The sequence below is a fragment of the Homo sapiens genome, chromosome 4 (assembly GCF_000001405.40).
Source record: "Homo sapiens chromosome 4, GRCh38.p14 Primary Assembly".
NCBI classification, from domain to species: Eukaryota; Metazoa; Chordata; class Mammalia; order Primates; family Hominidae; genus Homo; species Homo sapiens.
This window is the reverse complement of record NC_000004.12, coordinates 149,779,640-149,800,038: the sequence shown is the minus strand read 5'-3', so window position 1 is coordinate 149,800,038 and position 20,399 is coordinate 149,779,640. Positions and strand designations below refer to the sequence as shown.

Here is a 20,399-nt window from a genome sequence, read left to right as displayed (position 1 = left end):
TATCTTTGTCTGGTTTTGGTATCAGGGTATTACTAGATTGTGGAATGAGTTTGGAAGTATTCCCTCCTTCTCTATTTTTTAGAATAGTTTGAATGGAATTGCTATTAGTTATTTATATGTTTGGTAGGATTCATCAGTGAAGCCATCAGGTCCTGGGTTTTTTTTTGTTTTTTTGTTTTTTTGTTTTTTTACTGGTAGACTTTTTATTACAGCTTCAACCTTGTTACTTACTACTCATCTGATCAGGTTTTGGATTTCCTCTTGATTCATTCTTAGTAGGTTTTATGTGTCTTGGAATCTGTCCATTTCTTCTAGATTTTTCAATTTATTGGCATGTAGTTGCTCATAGTAGCCACTGATGATCCTTTGAACTTCTGCAGTATCAGTTGTAATGTCTCCTTTCTCATCTCCGATTTTACTTCTATCTTCTTTCTTTTTTTCTTAGTCTAGCTAAAGGTTGGTCATTTTAGTTTAACTTTTAAAAAACCAACTTTTTGTCTCATTGATCTTTTGTATTGTTTTGTTCATTAGAATTTAATTTATTTCTGCTCTAATCTTTATTTTTTTTCTTCTACTAATTTTGGGTTTTGTTTGCTGTAGCTTTTCTAGTTCTTTTAGATGCATCATTAGATTATCTGAAGTTTTTCTTCTTTTTGATGCAGGCACATATAGCTATAAACTTTCCTTTTAGTACTTTTCTGCTGTATCCCATGGGTTTTGGTATGTTGTGTTTCCATTTTTATTTTTTCAAGACCTTTTTCAATTTCCTTATTAATTTCTTCATTGACCCACTGGTCTTTCAGGAGCATATTGTTTAATTTCCATGTATTTGTATAGTTTCCAAAATTCCTCTTTTTATTGATTTCTAGTTTTTTTCCATTGTGGATAGAGAAGATGCTTGATATTATTTTAATTTTTTGAATGTGTTAAGCCTTGTTTTGTGATCTAACACATGGTCTGTCCTTGAGAGTAATCCATGTGCTGAGTGAAAAAAAAAAAATAAAGGATGCATATCTTGCAGCTCTTGGATGAAATATTCTGTAAATATCTATTAGATCCAATTGGTGTATAGTGCAAATTAAGTCCAATGTTTCCTTTTTGATTTCCTGTGTGGATAGTCTGTCCAATGCTTAACGTGGAGTGTTGAAGTCTCCACCTCTTATTGTATTGGGACCCATCTCTCTCTCCAGCTCCAATAATATTTGCTTTCTATATCTAAATGCTAAAGTATTAGATACATATATATGCACCCTCTTGCTGAATTGACACCTTCATCGTTATATAGTGAACTTTTTTGTCTCTTATGGTTTTGTCTTGAAATTTATTTTGTCTGATATAAGTATAGTGACTCCTGCTCTTTTTTGATATCTATTGGAATGGACTATCTTTTTCCATCCCTTTATTTTCAGTCTATGTGTGTTTTTACAGGTGAAGTGTGTTTCTTGTAGGCAACAGATAATGGGTCTTATTTTTTCATTCATTCAACTACTCTCTGTCTTTTGATTGGAGAGTTTAGTCCATTTACCTTCAAACATATTATTGACAAGTAAGGACTTACTCCTGCCATTTTGTAATTTATTTTCTGAATGTTTTGCTGTCTTTACTTCCTTCTTGCTTTCCTTCTTGTCTTTCTTTAGTGAAGGTGATTTTCTCTGGTGACACAATTTAGTTTCTTGCTTTATATTTTTTGTGTATTCATTGTATGCTTTTTGGCCTGAGGTTATCATGAGGCTTGCAAATACTATTTTATAACCCATTATTTAAACCTGATAACAACCTAACACTGTTTGCAAAAACAAGCAAAAAGAAAAGTAATAAAAACACTATGCCTTAACTTTGTCCCCCTACTTTTTAACTTTTTTCTTGTTTCTATTTGTATCTTATTGTGCTATCTATGTCTTGAAAAGTTGTTGTAGTTATTATTTTTGATTGGTTCATTACTAGTTTTTCTACTTATGACAAAAGTAGTTTACACACCACAGTTACAGTGTTGTAATATCCTGTGTTTTTCTGTATAATTACTATTACCAGTGAGTTTTGTACCTTTAGATGATGATTTATTGCTCATTAATGTCTTTTTTTTTTCTGATTGAAGTACTCTCTTTAGCATTTCCTGTAGGACAGGTATGGTGTTGATGAAATCACTCAGCTTTTGTTTGTCTGGGAAAGTCTTTATTTCTCCTTCATGTTTAAAGGATATTTTTTATCATAGTATGCTATTCTAGAGAAAAAGTTTTTTTTTTTCTTCAGCATTTTAAATATGACATGCCACTATTTCCTAGTCTGTCAGGTTTCCATTGAAAAGTCTGCTGCTAGACGTATTACACCTCTATTATATGTTATTTGTTTCTTTTCTCTTGCTGCTTTTAGGGTTCTTTCTTTATCCTTAATTTTGGGAGTTTGATTCTTAAATGCCTTGAAGTAGTCTTCTTTGTATTAAATTTGCTTGGTTTTCTATAACCTTTCTGTACTTGAATATTGATATCTCTCTGTAGGATATTGGATATCCTATTATTCTCTTATTATCCCCTTGAATAAGCTTTCCACCCCTATCTCTTTCTCTACTTCCTCTTTAAGGCCAAGAACTCTTAGATTTGCCCTTTTAAGGCTATTTTCTAGATCCTGTAGGCATGCTTCATTTTTTCTTCTTTTTCCTATTGTCTCCTTTGACTGTTATTTTAAAATAGCCTGTCTTCAAGCTTAGTAATTCTTTCTTCTGCTTGATCAGTTCTGCTACTAAAGAACTCTGGTGCAGTCTTCATTATGCCAAATGCCTTTTTCAGCTCCAGAATTTCTACTTGATTCTTTTTAACTATTTAAATCTTTTTGTTAAATTTATCTGATAGAATTCTGAATTCCTTCTCTGTATTATCTTGAATTTCTTTGAGTTTCCTCTACACAGCCATTTTGAATGCTCTGTCTGAAAGGTCACCTATCTGTGTTTCTCCAGGATTGGCCCCTGGTGTCTTATTTAGTTGATTTGGTGAGATCATGTTTTCCTGGATTGTCTTGATACTTCGTAGGTGTTATTTTGTGTCTGAGCATTGAAGAGTTAGGTATTTATTGTAGTCTTTGCAGTCTGGGCTTGTTTGTATTTATCCTTCTTAGAAGACTTTCTAGATATTTGAAATGACTTGGGTGTTGTGATCTAAGCTGTATTTGCTTTAGGGGAACCCCAAGTCCAGCAATACTGTGGTTCTTGCAAAATCATAGAGGTGCTGCCTTGATAGTTTTGGACAAGATCTGGGAGAATTTTTTGCATTACCAGGTAGACATTCTTGTCCTCTTCCCTTACTTTCTCTCAAACAAATGGAGTCTCTTTCTGTATTCTGAGCCATCTGAAGCTGGAGGTGGAGTGACTCAAGAACCCCTGTGGCCACCACCACTATGACTGCACTGTGTAAAACCTGAAGCCAACAAAAGGCTGCATCTCACCCAAGGCCTGATGTAATCACTCCCTAGCTACTGCCTATGTTCACTCAAAGGCCTGGGGCTCTACAATCAGCAGGTGGCAAACCCAGTTAGGCCTATGTCCTTCCCTTCAGGGCAGCAGGTTCCCCAGGTTTCTGGCAGATACAGAGGTGCTGTCCAGGAGCCAGGGATTACAGTCAAAAACCTTAGAAGTCTACCTGGTATTCTACTGTACTGAGGCTGAGCTGGCACTTAAACCATGAGACACAGTTCTTCCCATTCTTCCTTCCCCTTTCCGAAGGGAGAGGAGCCTCACTCTGTGACCACTACCACCTCAGGCACAGGAGGAGTACTGCCAGACTACTGCTTATGTTTTCTTATAGCCCAATGGCTCCTCAGTCAGCTTGTGGTGATGCTGCCTGTCTTGGATCTCACCCCTTCAAGGGAGTGGGCTCCCCTCTGTCCCCAGGGCAGGTCCAGAAATGCTTCCCAAGAGTAAAGTCCTGGAATTGGATACCTCATGGCCCCACTTGGTACTCTACCCTTGTGGCCAAAGACAAAGTCTCCCTTACTTTTCCCTCTGCTTTTCTCAAGCACAAGGAGTCTCGCCCCAGGGCCACCATAGCTGGCAATGTTCTGAGTCTCACCTAGAGCCAGCAAGTCTCAGAGTCTCACTCAAGACCCTCAATGAAGTTCCTGGGTATAACTGCTGGTTAGTCAGTGCCAAAGGGCTCTTACAGTTAGCAGGTGATAAATGCTGCCAGAACTGAGTCCTTTCCTTCAAGGCAGTGTGTTCCCTTCTGGCCCAGGGTGTTTCTAGAAGTGTCATCCAGGAGCTAGGGCTTGGAAAGGGGGTCTCACAGTTCTGACCAGTGCCTTATCCTGCTGTTGCTGAGCTGTTATCCAAGATGCAAGACAAAGTTCTCCTCACTATTCCCTCTCTTCTCCAGAAGCAGAAGGAAGGGGTCTCTTTTGGAGGTAGGAGCTCTGCAGCCTGGGGTTAAGGGTGAGGAGATGCCAGCACTTATTTAGCCACCCTAGCTGTTGTCTCATTAGGTTGCATGTCCCGTGAGTCCATTGGCTCTGGGCCCAGTTCAACACTAGGACTTGCCTAAATGTGGCCTTGTGAAGTTTATTTAGAGCCTCAGTGCACTTTAGCCTGCAGTGGTGAGGCTCGTGGGAACTCAGTTCTGACCACTGGGATCAGTGATTCCCCTCTGGCTAGGGCTGGTTTAAATGCTCCCTCTTTCGGCGGCTGTTAGCTGAGTTTGGTCTGGTCTTCCTTTCTGTTATGACTGCACAGCACTGAGTTAAATGCCTCACAATTGCAGTCCTCTCCTTCCCCCAGCACACAGAAGTGCTCTCCACAGCAAGCCATGGCTGCCAGGGGTGGAGGAGTTATTAATCTGTTTTTTAATCTATGCCCTGTTTAAACATGATCACTTTTCTGACCTCTATGAGTTCACTACTCTTTTCTTCTGCAGTATGCAATCTGAAGTTAAGAGCATTCAACTAATTTTAAAAAATTTTAGATATAATTTTCAGTTGTAGAATTTCCCTTTAGTTCTTTTTAGCGTTTCCATTTATCTCCTGAATACCCCATATTTTCAACCATTGTATCTTTTACTATAAATTATTTAATGTAATTATAATAGATGTCTTAAAATCCTTGTCTCCTAATTCCAGTAAAAGGGTAATCTGTGATCTGCTTCTGTTGAATATATGTTCACTTAATTATTAGTTTCCTGCCTCTTTGTAGGTCTTAAAGTTTTAAAAAATGATATTCTGAATATTATTTACCAAAGAACAAAAGCTGAAATATCTATATCTATCTTTTAAATTTACTATTTTTTATTGTGTGAGTTTCTTGACTTTATCTTACAGCTTTTGTATTGAATTCTAATTTTAGTAATTATATTTTCAATTTCCTTTAAGCTCCTATTTTCTAATCACTCCACCACCACAACACAGAAGTCTTTTTTTATTATTATATGAATGCACCATTTCTTGGAATTTCTCTTATGCTATTGATTTTCCTCAAATGTCTGGTGATTCATGGTTGTCTACTGTTCCTTGTTAATGGGAAAGGTTGAGTAACATAACTCGCTGGCTAGTTTTCCTTCACCATTGTACTCATCTATTTCCCCTGAATGGGATATTTTAACATAAACTATATATACTTGGGTGAACACATTCACTGATTCAGTGGTAAATAGGCTTGAATTTAATATGGACACTGTGTAATAGGCAGATAAGCTGGTAGTTTTCTTTGGAGTGTAGCACTTCACAGAAAAATTATTCAAATTATTTAGAGGTGAGCTCTTTTCCTCCTGTGTCATATGGCATTTCTGCCAGTTGTCTGAAAGTGAAAATGTGGGAGGGATTTATCCAGCTGTTCAGTAGTCAGTACTTTAATGAAATATCCTCAATACTGCCCTACAATCTACTCCTGCCCCATTTCTAGCCTGTGTGGTTAAATCCTTTCTGGGTTCTTTCCTGGGCACAACAGACCCATCTTCTGTACAGGCCTCATGTGCCACTCCACAAGCTCTGTCTTCTCCATCACTGCAATAATCCCATCTGCATGCTATCTTCTCTAAACCCTGTTAAACACTGTAGAACACTCATTACAGTTTTCTGGCCACTCTGCTTCCACACCTCATTCACTTTTTGCTATTGCATTCTGTTTTTACATTTTTAGAATCATTTTAGTGTGATTTAGGAGGTAGAAAGGTAAATATTCATGCTCAGTCTGCCCTCCTGCCTGAGCAGTAGCATGCATTTAGAATGTCATCTTGTTATTTAAATATTCATGCTTTTGCCTTTTTTTGATTTTTAAAGAAATTTAGAAGCAATAAAATCAGTCTTAAGTATCTTATAGGTTTTTTTTCCCTCTCTTTATATTTTATAGATTCTATCATGGACTGAATGCTGGACAGACCCAGTGCATACTTGTTGAGTGACTAATGTATAAAATCCATTAACATAAACCATAACTGAATGTATTACAACAGAATGTGTAGAAGTTTTGTTGTGGCAAATTTGTGTTCTGGCAAAAGCAGAAAAACTAAAAGCAAATTCATAACATGCATATTTAAAATAATATATGCTTAAAATGAATTGTGCTTAAAGCAGTTTTTGGCTTTGCTTGATTGTATTCTTAGGAAGCAGGAAAGGATAAAGATAGTCAGAAGCTGGTGCAATTAGAAGAGAGAGGCACTAGGAGTAGTAAAGCAAAAGAACTGACAAAAGGTGGAAAATGAGGTGCCTAAAAGTAAAGAGTAAAAATAGAAAATATCTCATCTTCTGCCTCTTGTCTCCTTTGGCATGGAAGGAATTTTGAGGTGGTTCTGACCCTGAACACTTAGAACTCAAGACTATTACAGAAAAACAAATCTGAATTTCTCTAGATCTTGGGTATAAATGCATGGATTCATTAGTTTTCCTCAGGCAGAAGGTAGCTATCTACTTTTTAAACCAGTGGAGTGTTTATGAGAACTAGCAAGGGGCTGCAAACCTCTCTTAATACTTTTTAATTAGGCTGAAATTCCATCAAGGGATTTGAGCTGACTTCATAAATAATGAATGTGAAATTTAATTTTCCAAAGTCACAGGTGCCCAGTCAAGGATATAGACAATTTATGTATCTTTTCAGGATAGGCTACTGCATGTGAACATTGTTCCCGTGCTGAGATGTGTGGGGTCTACGGTAGAACCTGATTTTGCATTATGGTTGAAAACTTCTTAAAGCATTTGTTCCTCTGAACACTTTGGAGATCAGTCAGGTGCATTACTACCTGACTCACTATAATTTTGCAGCATCACTTGTATTTTCCATCACTTGGTTTAATTGTTTGCTTTTCTAATATCTGGAAATGATATAGTACAATGAAAACAGTAAGCATAGGAGTTAATTATGGCTTCTGTTTATAAACACGTCGAATACTAAAGAAGGTAAATGAAGATGGGCCAAAGACAAAAGTAGAGACTGCTTACATGTTAAATTTTTCTATTGTTTGAAAGTCACCTATGATGCATTTTGGAAATGACTGGACAGAAAATATTTTAAAAAATAGACATTTTCCCCCTGGCTGTCTAACTTTCCTGTGATGAATTGGTGTAAACATATAACTTTGTAAAAATAACATGACCCTTTAAATTATAATACTTTACAGTTAACATCACATAGTATAAAGTGCTCCTGCCTGAAAATTTTATATTTTTTTATTTTTGGTAGAGACAGGGTCTTACTATGTTGCCCAGGCTGGTTATATTTCATTTTAATCTTGCAGAATTACACTGTATAAATAGTTCTTACACTAGCAAAAGTAGTTAAAAATGCATATTTCATTTTTACATATGGTAAAATTTTCTCTAGTGAATTAAAATGCTGTTAATCTTTTCGTTGAATATAAATATGGGCTCCCCTCTGATGTAATTAATATAACCTATACTATTCAGTAGAGAACAGAAATGTTAAATCATACATTAAAAAGTGGCAAAGAGTATTTCCTTAGCAAACCAGTTTTGCAATTTCCATAGACTTATGGAAAATGTTATTCACCTCTTGGGGAAAGCTTTTGGCAGAAAGCTGAGTTTTGCTTGCCATCCTATTTGCATCAGTTTAGTCTCTGGTTAGCCTACTCTTGATGTCAATTGTGTATATGCTCTTCATGTGTTGAAAAAACAATTTTAGTTTTCAACCAGTATTTATTTTTTCTACTGGTATTTAATCTCTGTGTTGAGTTTAAGATTTAGCATTCCAATGTGATAGCTTAAATATGTACTGTTTGCAATAATGACTGTTTGCAATTGATCATACGGGATTCTGAAGCTTTGATGCTTATCCTATTAGACGCTCTTCATCTAAACATCCCTGTGGTATAAAATAAGGACATTATATGAAGTATGGTTATGTTACTTATGCACAATAAACCTTTTAGAATTCTCAGCCATCCAATAGCATACATGCAGAATGCACACTAAAAAACAATTTCTAGGTAAGAGTAGAATGATAGTTACCGGAGGCTGGGAAAAGGTAGTGGAGGGGGAGGCAGATAAAGAGGGAATGGTTAGTGGGAACAGAAATACAGCTAGATGGAAGGAGTATGATCTAATGTTTGGTAGCACAATAGGGCAACTACAGTTAACCATTTTTTTGCATATTTCAAAATAATGAAAAGAGTGGAACTGAAATGTTTCTAACAAAAAGAAATGACAAATCCTTGAGGAGATAGCTCTCCTAATTACTTGGATTTGATCATTGCACAACATATGCTTATATCAAAATATTACATGTACCCCCCCAAAGTGTACAACTATTATGCATCTATAATAATTTTTTAAGTTTCTAGTTAAAAATAATGAGAGTCAATAAAAAAGATAAAAATCAATAAAAGACAGTAATAAAATTTGGCAAATAAACATGTGTTATCTACCAAAATGATTTATGTTAATGAAATATGAAGCATACATGTCACTATTAATCCTTTTATTGGAATTTTTGGCTCCTGAATAAAATTACTTGCACTTTATATTGCTTTACTTTTTAATTACTGAAGGTCTGATTATCTATAAACTTTGCTCTAAAATGAGGTAAGTGCTTCTCAACATATGAGTATAAGAGAGTTCTTTTCTTTCTTAGAGTTCTTTATTTTATTTTAGAAGTAAATGTTTTATTCTTCCAACTAATTCCAGTACTACAAGGGCAGTAAAACAATGATACACTGGAAAAAAATGCAGCAGTAAACATTTGTTAAAAAGACTGATAGAATAAATAAAAGTACCAAAAAAAAAATCATATAAACCCATTCTGAAACCCCAAGAAGTCCTGGAATACAAAAATGCCCTCCTCTGTCGCTATTTCACAGGAGGCACTGCAGGCTATTTTCTTAATATTGTCCTGGGATTATATTCTAAAATTAGTACCTGGTTACAGCTTGGTTGTATTGCACAATTAAAATCACAGTAACTTCATTTGAGTGTCACTCTACAGTTTTTTTATACAACCAGTGAAGGGCATGTTCTAGAATACCAGCTTTAATCGTTTTAAAACATTAATGTAAGAAGCCAAATTGTAATGATAACTTACAAAATGAGGCCACTGGTATTAATACAGGTAGCAAACATCCACATCCAGGTGGTACTGACATCAGGGAAATTTCCAAAACCCGTTGCTGTTGCCTAAGAGTGGTTACCACTGAAGAAAGCTTGAAATAACTTGTATTCACAGAAGGGGTATTGGCATTGCTCCATGTCATAAGTGGGACCTCTTGCAACAACTCAACAAGGAAGAAGGCAGCTCGCAAATGCAGAATACATGATTCATGAAACATAACTAGCAGGCTCTTCTCCATATCATCACATTATTTGATCATGTGTAAATTTCACAGATGCATCATTATTGTTCTGCAAGTTTTGTGTTCAATATTCTTCATGTTCTTCCCAAACTTTCTCTTCATGTTCTTTCAACTAATGTTCACAGATCATTCCAACCTGCCATAGAGTAAATAAGGGCTGTTCTTTTTTTAATGGTGAGGATGCTGCAGATGAAGTTCCTGGTGAAGCTGATCCACTGAGGAGAAATGCATGTGCATCAGAAGTACAACACAGATCTGTGTCTTGGAAACTCGTTTCTGAGTATCTTCTCTTCTGCCTTTCTTTTCTTTTTCTTTTTGCTTTGGCAAAGGCAAAAGTCTTTGCCTTTTTGCCTTTGCCTTTGCCTGAAACAGGGTCTCACTCTGTCACCCAGGCTGGAGTGCAGTGGAGTGATCTCAGCTCATTGCAACCTCTGCCTCCTGGGCTCAACAATCCTCCCAACTCCTTAGCCTCCTGAGTATCTGGGACCACAGGCGTGTAACACCATGCTCAGCAATTTTTTTGTATTATTAGTAGGGATGAGATCTCAGCTTATTGCAACCTCTGCCTTCTGGGCTCAACAATCCTCCCAACTCCTTAGCCTCCTGAGTATCTGGGACCACAGGTGTGCAACACCATGCTCAGCTGGTCTTGAACTCTTGAGCTCAAGTGATACACCCACCTTGGCCTTCCAAAGTGCTTGGATGACAGACATGAGCCACTGCACCTGGCTCTTAAGGTGTATGTATTCATAATATTTGTCTGGATGTTAATATTGAGATGATAAATTTAAAAGCTAAAGACCATTAAAATGGAATGACTGCATTACTTACCTCAAGTCACTATACTTTATTAAATTGATACTGGAAGGAATTGGGGGTACAAATGGCAGTATGTTTTTTCTTGCTGTGTGGCCTGATCCTTGGGTTATCTCAGAATAGAATTTATAATTACTGAACTGTGCTATTTCACTGTCCTTTTGATATATAATATTTTAAATATTTATGGGGTCCATGTGATATTTTGTTGCGTGCATAGAATACCTAATGGTCAAGTCAGAGTATTTAGGGTATCCATCACTCTGAGTATGTATCATTTCCATGTGTTGGGAACATTTTAAGCCCTCTCTTCTAGCCATTTTGAAATATACCATACATTGTTGTTAACTATAGTCACCCTACTTTGCTGTTGAACAATAAACCTTACCCTTTCTATCTAGCTGCATGTTTGTACCCATTAACCAGCCTCTCTTCATCTCCTCTACCACCTGCACATTCTTCCCAGCCTCTGCCATCCATCATTCTACTCTCTACCTCCATGAGACTTACTTATTTAGCTCCCACATAGGAGTGAGAACATGTGATACTTGCCTTTCTGTGCCTGACTTATTTCACTTAACATAATGACCTCCAGTTCCATCTATGTTGCTACAAATGACAGGCTTTTATTATTTTCTAAGGTGAATAGTATTCTGCTGTGTATATATACCACATTTTATTTATCCATTCATCCACTGATGGACACTTAGGTTGATTCTTTGTCTTAGTTATTGTGAATAGTGCTGCAATAAACATGGGGATGCATGTATTTCTTTGATATACTTACTTCATTTCCTTTGGATAAATATTGAGTAATGGGACTTCTGGATTGTATGATAGTTCTATTTTTAATTTTTTGAGCAATCTCCATACTGTTTTCCGTAGTGGCTGTACTCATTTACATTCCCACCAACAGTGTATAAAAGTTCCATTTTCTCCACACCCTCACCAGCATCTGTTATTTTGTGTCTTTTTATGCAGTAGCCGTTCTAACTAGGGTAAGACGATATTCAGTTGTGGTTTTGATTAATGTTTCCCTGATGATTAATAATTTTGAGCATTTTCTCACATACCTTCTGGTCATTTGTATGTTTTTGTTGTTTTTGTTTTTTGTTTTTTGAGATGGAGTCTTGCTCTGTCGCCCAGGCTGGAGTCCAGTGGTGCAATCTCAGCTCACTGCAACCTCTGCCTCCTGGGTTCAAGCGATCCTCCTGCCTTAGCCTTCCAAGTAGCTGGGATTACAGACTTGTGCCACCATGCCCAGCTAATTTTTGTATTTTTAGTAGAGACAGAGTTTCACCATGTTGGCCAGGCTGGTCTCGAACTCCTGACCTCAGGTGATCTGCCCGCCTTGGCCTCCCAAAGTGTTGGAATTACAGGCATGAGCCCCACTGCGCCTGGCCTGTATGTGTTCTTTTGAAAAATGTCTATTCACGTCCTTTGCCAACTTTTTAATGAGATTATTTGTTTTTTTCCTGTGAGGTGTTTGAGCTTCTTATATATTCTGAATATTATTTTGTCAGACAAATAGTGTGCAAATATTTTCTTCCATTCAGCTAGTTGTCTCTTTGTTGATTGCTTCCTTTGCTGTGCAGAAGCTTTTTACTTTAATATAGTCCCATTTGTCTACTTTTTATTTTGTTGCCTGTGTTTTTGAGGTCTTAGCCATAAAATCATTGTCTACACCAATGTTTTGAGGTGTTTTCCCTGTTTTTTTCTAGTTTTATAGTTTCAGGTCTTATGTTTAAGTCTTTAATCTAGCTTCGGTTGATTTTTGTATATGGTGAGAAATAGAGTCCAGATTCATTCTTCTGCATATGGATATCCAATTTTCATAGCATCATTTATTGAGGAGGATGTTCTTTCCCCAATGGATGTTCTTGGCATCTTTGTAAAAAAAATCAGTTAGCTGGAAATACATGGATTTATTTTCAGGTTCTCTATCCTGTTCCATTGGTCTATGTGTCTGCTTTTATACACATACAATGCTCTTTTGGTTACTGTAGCTTGGTAATGTATTTTGAAGTCAGGTAGTGTGATGCCTCCAGCTTGGATATTTAGGATATTTTTTGTTTCTATATAAGTTTTAGGATTTTTTCCATTTCTATGAAAAATGATGTATTTTATTTTATTTTATTTATTCCTGTATTTCTTCTAAAAAAAAAAACAAACCCAGGATACATGTGCAGAATGTGCAGGTTTGTTACATAGGTATACATATGCTGTGGTGGTTTGCTGCACCTATTGACCTGTCCTCTAAGTTCCCACCCCCATCCCCCAACAGGCCCTAGTATGTGTTCCTCTCTCTGTGTCCATATGTTCTCAATGTTCAACTCCCACTTTTGAGTGAGAATATGCGGTGTTTGGTTTTCCGTTCCTGTGTTAGTTTGCTGAGGATGATGGCTTCCAGCTTCATCCATGTCCCTGCAAAGGACATGATATCATTCCTTTTTATGGCTGCCTAGTATTCCATGGTGTATATGTACTACATTTTCTTTATCCAGTCTACCATTGATGGGCATTTGGGTTGGTTCCATGTCTTTGCTGTTGTAAGTAGTGCTGTGATAAACATATGTGTGCATGTGTCTTTATAGTAGAATGATTTATATTCTTTTGGGTATATACCCAGTAATGGGATTGCTGGGTCAAATGGTATTTCTGGTTCTAGACCCTGGAGGAATCACCATACTGTCTTCCAATGGGTGAACTAATTTACATTCCCACCAACAGTGTAAAAGCATTCTTATTTCTCCAAAGCCTCGCCAGCATCTATTGTTTCCTGAGTTTTTAATAATCACCATTCTGACTGGTGTGAGATGGTATTTCACTGTGGTTTTAATTTGCATTTCTCTGATGATCAGTGATGTTGGGCTTTTTTCATATGTTTGTTGGCTGTATAAATGTCTTCTTTTGAGAAGTGTCTGTTGATGTCCTTTGCCCACTTTTTGATGGTTTTTGTTTGTTCTTTTTCTTGTGAATTTGTTTAAATTTCCTCTTCTACTTTGGGGTGGTTCTGTTCTTGGTCTTGGGTAGTTTCCTTCCTTATATGTATCATTATTTAGCTGAAGATTCTAGAGTACATTTTTACATCTCTGGACCTCTTTCTCCGTAAAATCTCTCCACTCTGATATTCTGCTTCCTGATCTCTCCAGATTACCAGGTCTCCTTCAACTCAAGGAGCTTGCCTGGCTCCACCTGGCTTCCTTCATTGCCAGAAATTCCCTCCAGGCAGTAAGCTGGGGGCAATTGTAAGGCTAATTTTGTGTGAGTCATATGTCTCAGGAATCACTGACCCTTCATTGTGTGATTTCCAAAGTCCAGAAATGTTTCTTATATTTGGTTCATTTATTTAGTTGTTCCAGATGGAAGGAAAATTTAGCCCTTATTTCATCTTGGCCAGAAATGGAAGTTCTACACATTATAATATAATTTAGAAATACAAAATACCACAATTAGTTTTACTTAAATTTAACAGAATCAAAAGATTCTAGAGTGAAACTGAAGAAACAATGGAATTTTGGCTCAGTGTTACATCATTGTAAGCCAGGACTCAACAAACTACATCAAGCAGGCCAAATTCAGCTCATGGCCTGTTTTTGTGCAGCTTGAGGGCTAAGATTTTTTTTTTTTTTTACATTTTTAAAGGGTTGTAAAAGAAACAAAGAATAATAAGCAACAGAGATTGTATGTGGTCTGCAAAGCCTAAACTATTTACAATCTGACCATCCACAGAAAAAATGTGTACAAAAAAGCCTAAAAGATCTAAGGTTAGAAAAATTATTATGAAGGTTTAATTAAGTTTTTTGGGTCATTTTTTAACAATTTCATGCTTAAAGTTGAGATAATATAAATTTTCTCCCTGATGTTAATTGTAAGGAAATACTTCTTTCAGCCATTTGTGTACCATCCTTCAGTTTTGTTGGTTATATTATTTTTCTTTGTCAAAGTTTGAAACATTCAAATTATATTTTCCCACAAATTACTATAGTTATTTAAATAAATTATTTAAATTGATGGAATGCCTACCAACCGTTATTCATGAATTACATTTCTATTTGAGTTCCTTATTTTATACATTTCTTGATTAGCATAGGATTTTACTTTTCATAAAGCTAGGGTAAAAATTATATTTCTTATAACTTTGTGTGCCTAATAAAGTCAGCTGCCTCAGTCTCAAAGGAAAAGTTTGATGAGTATAAAATTCTAAGGTCACACTCTCTCTTAGAATATTTTACTCATTGCTCCATTGTCTTCTGGCAGTTGCTATGAACAGGTATGAAGGCATCCTATTTCTCATGAGTGGAAAAGTTATTATTTTTCCTGCCTAGATCGTAAGGAATCAGGAAGTTAGCATCTATTATAGCCATGGATGCATTTTCTGTTCCATCTGTTACATAAAACATATCTCTATATTAAATTGTTTTCTTTACTCTTCGTATCTGTTAACTTCCCTCTAATTTCTTCAGTGTCATAGTGTATTCATTTTGATTGTTAATTTGTTCATTAACTTATCTATTCATTTATTCATTTGTTTATTTAACAAATGATTTCCATATATAAGTTTACAACAGTTAACAAAGTCTGTACCTCCTTACGGTTTACATTCTGGTACAGAGAGAAATACAATAAATAAATGAATAAATGCATATTAGGCAGTGATATGTGAGTGCTAATGAGACAATACAGCATTCAGACATTCGCAATGCATATTGGTTGGGGATAAGATTTACTTTTTTTCAGGCCGGGCGCGGTGGCTCACAACTGTAATCCCAGCATTTTGGGAGGCCGAGGCGGGTGGATCACGAGGTCAGGAGATGCAGACCATCCTGGCTAACACGGTGAAACCCCTCTCTACTAAAAATACAAAAAATTAGCCAGGCGCAGTGGCGGGCACCTGTAGTCCCAGCTACTCGGGAGGCTGAGGCAGGAGAATGGCGTGAACCCGGGAGGCGGAGCTTGCAGTGAGCCTAGATGGCGCCACTGCACTCCAGCCTGGGCGAAAGAGCAAGAAAAAGATTTACTTTTTTCAGAGAAGGTGTCTGCAACAAAATGATCTTTGACTAAGGATCTAAAGAAGGTGAGGGTTGTGAGCTAAGGAGGATATCTGGGGGAACAGCATATTCAGGCAGAATGTTTGAAATCCCTGAGCCAGTGGCAAGTTTTTCATATTTGAGGAGCAACATAAAGGCCATTGTAGCTAGAGCAAAGTGAGAAATATAGACAATGGAAGATGAGTCAGAGTTGGATATAGGCCAAATTGTGGAAATAACTTGAGATTTTACTCTGAGTAAGACGGAAAGCCATTGGAGGAAATATTAGTTTTCTATTGCTGTGTAATACATTATCACAAATTAAGTAGCTTAAAACAACACATACATTATCTCATAGTTTCTATGGGTAAGGACGCTGGGCATGGCTTGAGTCTGTTTTGTGCTTTGAAGTCTTAAAAGGCTTCATTCAATGAACTAGCCAGCCTGCATTCTCAACTGGAGGCTTGACTGAGGATGAATCCACTTCCATGCTCATTCATATTGCTGGAAGAATTTATTTCCTTGCAGTTATATGATTGAGGGTCCTAACTGTTTGCTGACTGTCAACTGGAGGCTGCCTCAGGTCCTAGAGGCCACCTGCAGTATCTAGATGCTGTTGAAGCTCTTTGTCACGTGGACTTCTTTACATGGTCACTAACTGCATCAAGCCCACAATGAGAGCCTCTCTCTCTAGTCTGATGAGATAGTCTTATATAATGTAATTATAGAGATAACATTATACTAGTCTTGCCATCTTCTATTGGTTATAAGCAAGTCATAGCTCCTACCTACTCAAAGGGAGGAGATTACATAATGACATGAATATCAAAGGGCAAGGATCACCCTAGAGTCTTTCCACTACAGAGGGTTTTGTGCTGGCAGTGACTTGATCTGAATTTTGATATTAAATGATTATTCTTGTTGCTATATGAAGAATATCCTGTAGGGAGGTCAAGACGGAAGCAGGTGGCCCAGCTAGGAGGCTAATGTAATAATCAGGTTGTTTGAAATAGGGTGGTAATGGAGAAGGTAATAAGAAGTGGTCAGATTCTAGATATAATTTTGAGAGCGTTTGTTAATACTAAAGAATTACATGAGATATACAAGCAACATAGAAGATTCAAGAATTATGTGCAAGTTTTTAGCCTAAGAAAATTGAAGAAATGAATTGACATTTACTGAGATGAAGACTTGAATGAAGAATAGGTTTTATTGTGGGATGGCTGGAAAAAAGAATTCAGTTTTAGACTTGTTAAGTTAGGAAATGCTGGTTAGATAGCCAAGTGGAGATGTGGAGAAAGTAGTTAGATAGATGAATGTGGAGTACAGGGGAGAGTTCTGTACTATAGATATACATTTAAGAACCATCAGACAAGATGGAATTTAAAACAGTGAGACTGGATGAGATCACCAAAGAAGTAGGAATAGAGAATCAAAGCCATCTGAAGTCTGATATATGAAACACTCTAATGTTTAGAGGTGGAGAGATGAAGAGGAAACAGCAAGGAAGACTGAGAAGGAGTGTCCAGTGAGGGTGGAAGGTGAAAGAGAACCATGAGAGAGTAGAATCCTAGGAGCCAAGTGAGAAAAATGTTTCACATGATTATCATAAAATCTGTCTTCCTTCTGTATCACTAATTAGACTTCTAGCTAAGTCTATTCTATTCCTTGCTTTTTTAAAGGTATCAGTTACCTAATAATGTTAGATTCACAGTGGTTGATAGTGGTGTTTTTTTTTTTTTAAGTTCTGGATTCTTCCTTTTTCTTTTGAATCTTATTGTATTTCCCCCCACACCCACCCCCACTTTTTTTTTCTTTCTTTGAGACAGACTCTTGCTCTGACACCCAGACTGGAGTGCAGTGGCATGATCATAGCTCATTGCAGCCTGGGCTCAAGCAATCGTCCCACCTCAGCCTCTCAAATAGCTGGGACTATAGCTGTGTGCCACCACATCTGGCAAGTAAAAAAAAATTGTAGAGAGAGAGAGTCTCACTTTGTTTCCCAGATTGGTTGTTATATTTTCTTACCATCTTATTTTTGAGTTCTTGTTTTATTACATATTTAGTGTGAAAAATATTTTGGGAAAAATCTTTTTTATTTGCCTTATATTTTTCTTTCCTTTTTTTCCTCATAACTGAGTTCTTCATCTGTGCAATGATTGTTTCCAGTTTGCATGTATGTGTATATAAATAGTAGTAGTAAGAGTAGGATGTATATTTATTATCTTGCTTATGCATAACATGGGCAGAATGGGTAAATTTTTCTTGAATCATTTTCCACTGAATTTATAACTTATTTGCCCCTCTGGACTACAGTTTGAAGGCTAAGTATTGTTATTATTATTATTGTTGCTTGAGCAAATAAGTGTTAGGGCTGTTTATTGTCTTATTTGAGACACGGTCTCTTCTCTCTTTTCTGAGATTAAAAAAAAAATATTGTCTTACGCAGTCAGAATACATTATCTTTTTGTGGATGGATACCTTTAAACATCATATTGTTTCTCCTACTCAGTGTGTTTCCCCTAGCAGGTTTTTATGCTTTTGCCAAGATCTCAAATTCTTGGAGGTTTTTCATGACCTTTTCCTAGGCTGCCTACTTATTCCCTTAGTCTGCTTCTTTTCCAATGTATCAAGCATAGAATATTCTTACAGTTTTGTCAATTCATAATGTTTTGGCAGTTCACTAGTCTCCCTTTGAGGGGGATGCATTCCAAGACCCCCAGCAGATGTCTGAAACTGCAGAGAGTACTGAATCCTATATATACCATGTTTTTTCCTATATGTACCTATGATTAAGTTTAATTCATATGTTAGGCACAGAAAAAGATTAACAATAACTAATAATAAGACAGAACAACTATAACAATATACCAGCATCACTACTCTTGCACTTTGGGGCCATTATTAAGTAAAATAAAGGTTACTTGAACACAAGCGTTGTGATACCTTGACAGTTGATTTGATAAATGAGATGGCTATTAAATGACTAAGGGTGGGTAGCATAAACGTAGCATATATATGCTGGACAAATGGATGAGTCACATCCTGGGTGGGATGGAGTGGGACGGCATGAGATTTCATCATGCTACTCAAAACAGCATGCAATTTAAAACTTCTAAATTATTTATTTCTGGAATTATCTGTTTAATATTTTTGGACCATGGTTGACCATGGGTAACTGAAACCACAGAAAGCAAAACAATGGATAAGGACAATTACTGTATACAATAGTTCAGGGGCCTGCAGTGAAGATTGAAGCTACAACTTCATCATCCTTAGCTTTCTGCTTCTTCTTTTCTTGAAATAGGAATGTTTTCTAAAATCCAGGTTCTCAATCCTTTCTCTCTCTCTCACTTTCTACTTCTTTTATGTATTTAATGATTATATCTATATAAATAACTCTTAGAGGCTTATGTCTTTCCTGGACTTCTCTCATCATTACTTAAATTCACCATTTGAATGCCTATTATTTCCTTAAACTCAACATGTCTAAACCACTCATCTTCGCATGATACCTGGCACATGGGAAGTGAACAGTGCATTTAATACATTCCATTTTAATTCATCTGTCTCTTCACTATCTTAGGCTTTTAGTTCTTTGACTTGTCTTTTTAATCTAGCCCCATGTGCAACCATTTACTGGTTGTGGTGATGTTTCTTTGGAGTATTTTTCACCTCTAGACCTGCTCCCTACTCCCTTTGTCAAGGTATTTTAAATTCATTTCCACCCCTGCCCTGAAGAAATGAAATTTAGGAACGGTTTTTCTTTCTCATATATCTCTTTTCAGTACAATAAGCCTTTCTTGTTTACTTTTACCAGTAAGTTTCAGGGTAGCTCTATTTAAGGGTTTTCTTCTGTGGAAAAAAATATGTTTTATATATATATATATAACTTACATATTTTAAAGTTACTTCATTAAGGCTAAGGATTTCCTCATTGTTCATGTTGGGTTTCTGATGATGTCTTGGATGATGAGACTCTCTGTCTTGGTTGGTAGTCACTTTTGGCCAGTGTATTTTTTACCTGGGTTTTGAAATCTTCATGCAGAGAATTATTGAAGAATCATTTTGTTCCCTACTGTGAACTTTTGTTTTCAGGCTAATCCATCAAGACGTGTCAACAAAGAGATCATCCCTCTATGTGTTCCAGGGTCAAATGTGCAAAAGTTGGACAGTATTTATTTGTTCTAACGTGAGTTCCTTTTCCATAGAACTAAAAATAATTATAACATTTCTAATTACTCCTCACTTGTAGGGACTGTCTTCAACAATATGTTTCTAATGTTTATGCTGTAATATTTAATTGTGTCCTTTTCTAATTGACATAGACTTGATGGCTTAAATCGAACAAATATCTCATTGAAGCTAAGAATTTGCTATTTTGGATACATTCAGTAATTTGCATCTTTCCTTCAAATCCATTTGGATTGATATGACATACTCCCTGTCACTAGTGACAGCCATTAGATTTGGATTTTTCAGTGTTTCACCAATTTTGTGAAGTAATGAGGCAAAATGCAGTAAAAATTTAATTAGTTGCACAAACAGCGTAGTATAAGGATAGTGACCTTACAGCAACTGATTTGTTGCCTGGTAGCCAGTGCCAATTCAGGGTTTGAAAGTTGGCATAAAGTTGTCAAAACATATTTATGGGATATTCAAAAATCAAATGCATATTTGGAGACTCTGTACCAGAACCTTTTACCAATTGCCTTCTCTTAGGGAATGAATAGCTGCCTGCTCATTTAATACTGGTTCTATCTGATTTATTTTTCAGTTTTGA

The 20,399-nt window shown here is 36.5% G+C and overlaps 1 protein-coding gene and 1 pseudogene across 18 annotated transcripts in view; one reads left to right on the top strand and one right to left on the bottom strand.

Annotated features, from left to right (window-relative positions):
* IQCM (IQ motif containing M) overlaps window positions 1–20,399 on the top strand; it is a 464,135-nt gene that overhangs the window by 15,805 nt on the left and 427,931 nt on the right. The window contains exon 3 of one of the 18 annotated variants that reach the window (NM_001378187.1): window positions 19,715–19,808. The exons of the other annotated variants lie outside the window; for them this stretch is intronic. The gene's annotated coding sequence lies outside the window, so the exon portion shown is untranslated. The remainder of the gene's footprint in view (window positions 1–19,714; window positions 19,809–20,399) is intronic. 18 annotated transcript variants of the gene reach the window in all.
* AKIRIN2P1 (akirin 2 pseudogene 1) lies at window positions 9,073–10,081 on the bottom strand (annotated as a pseudogene).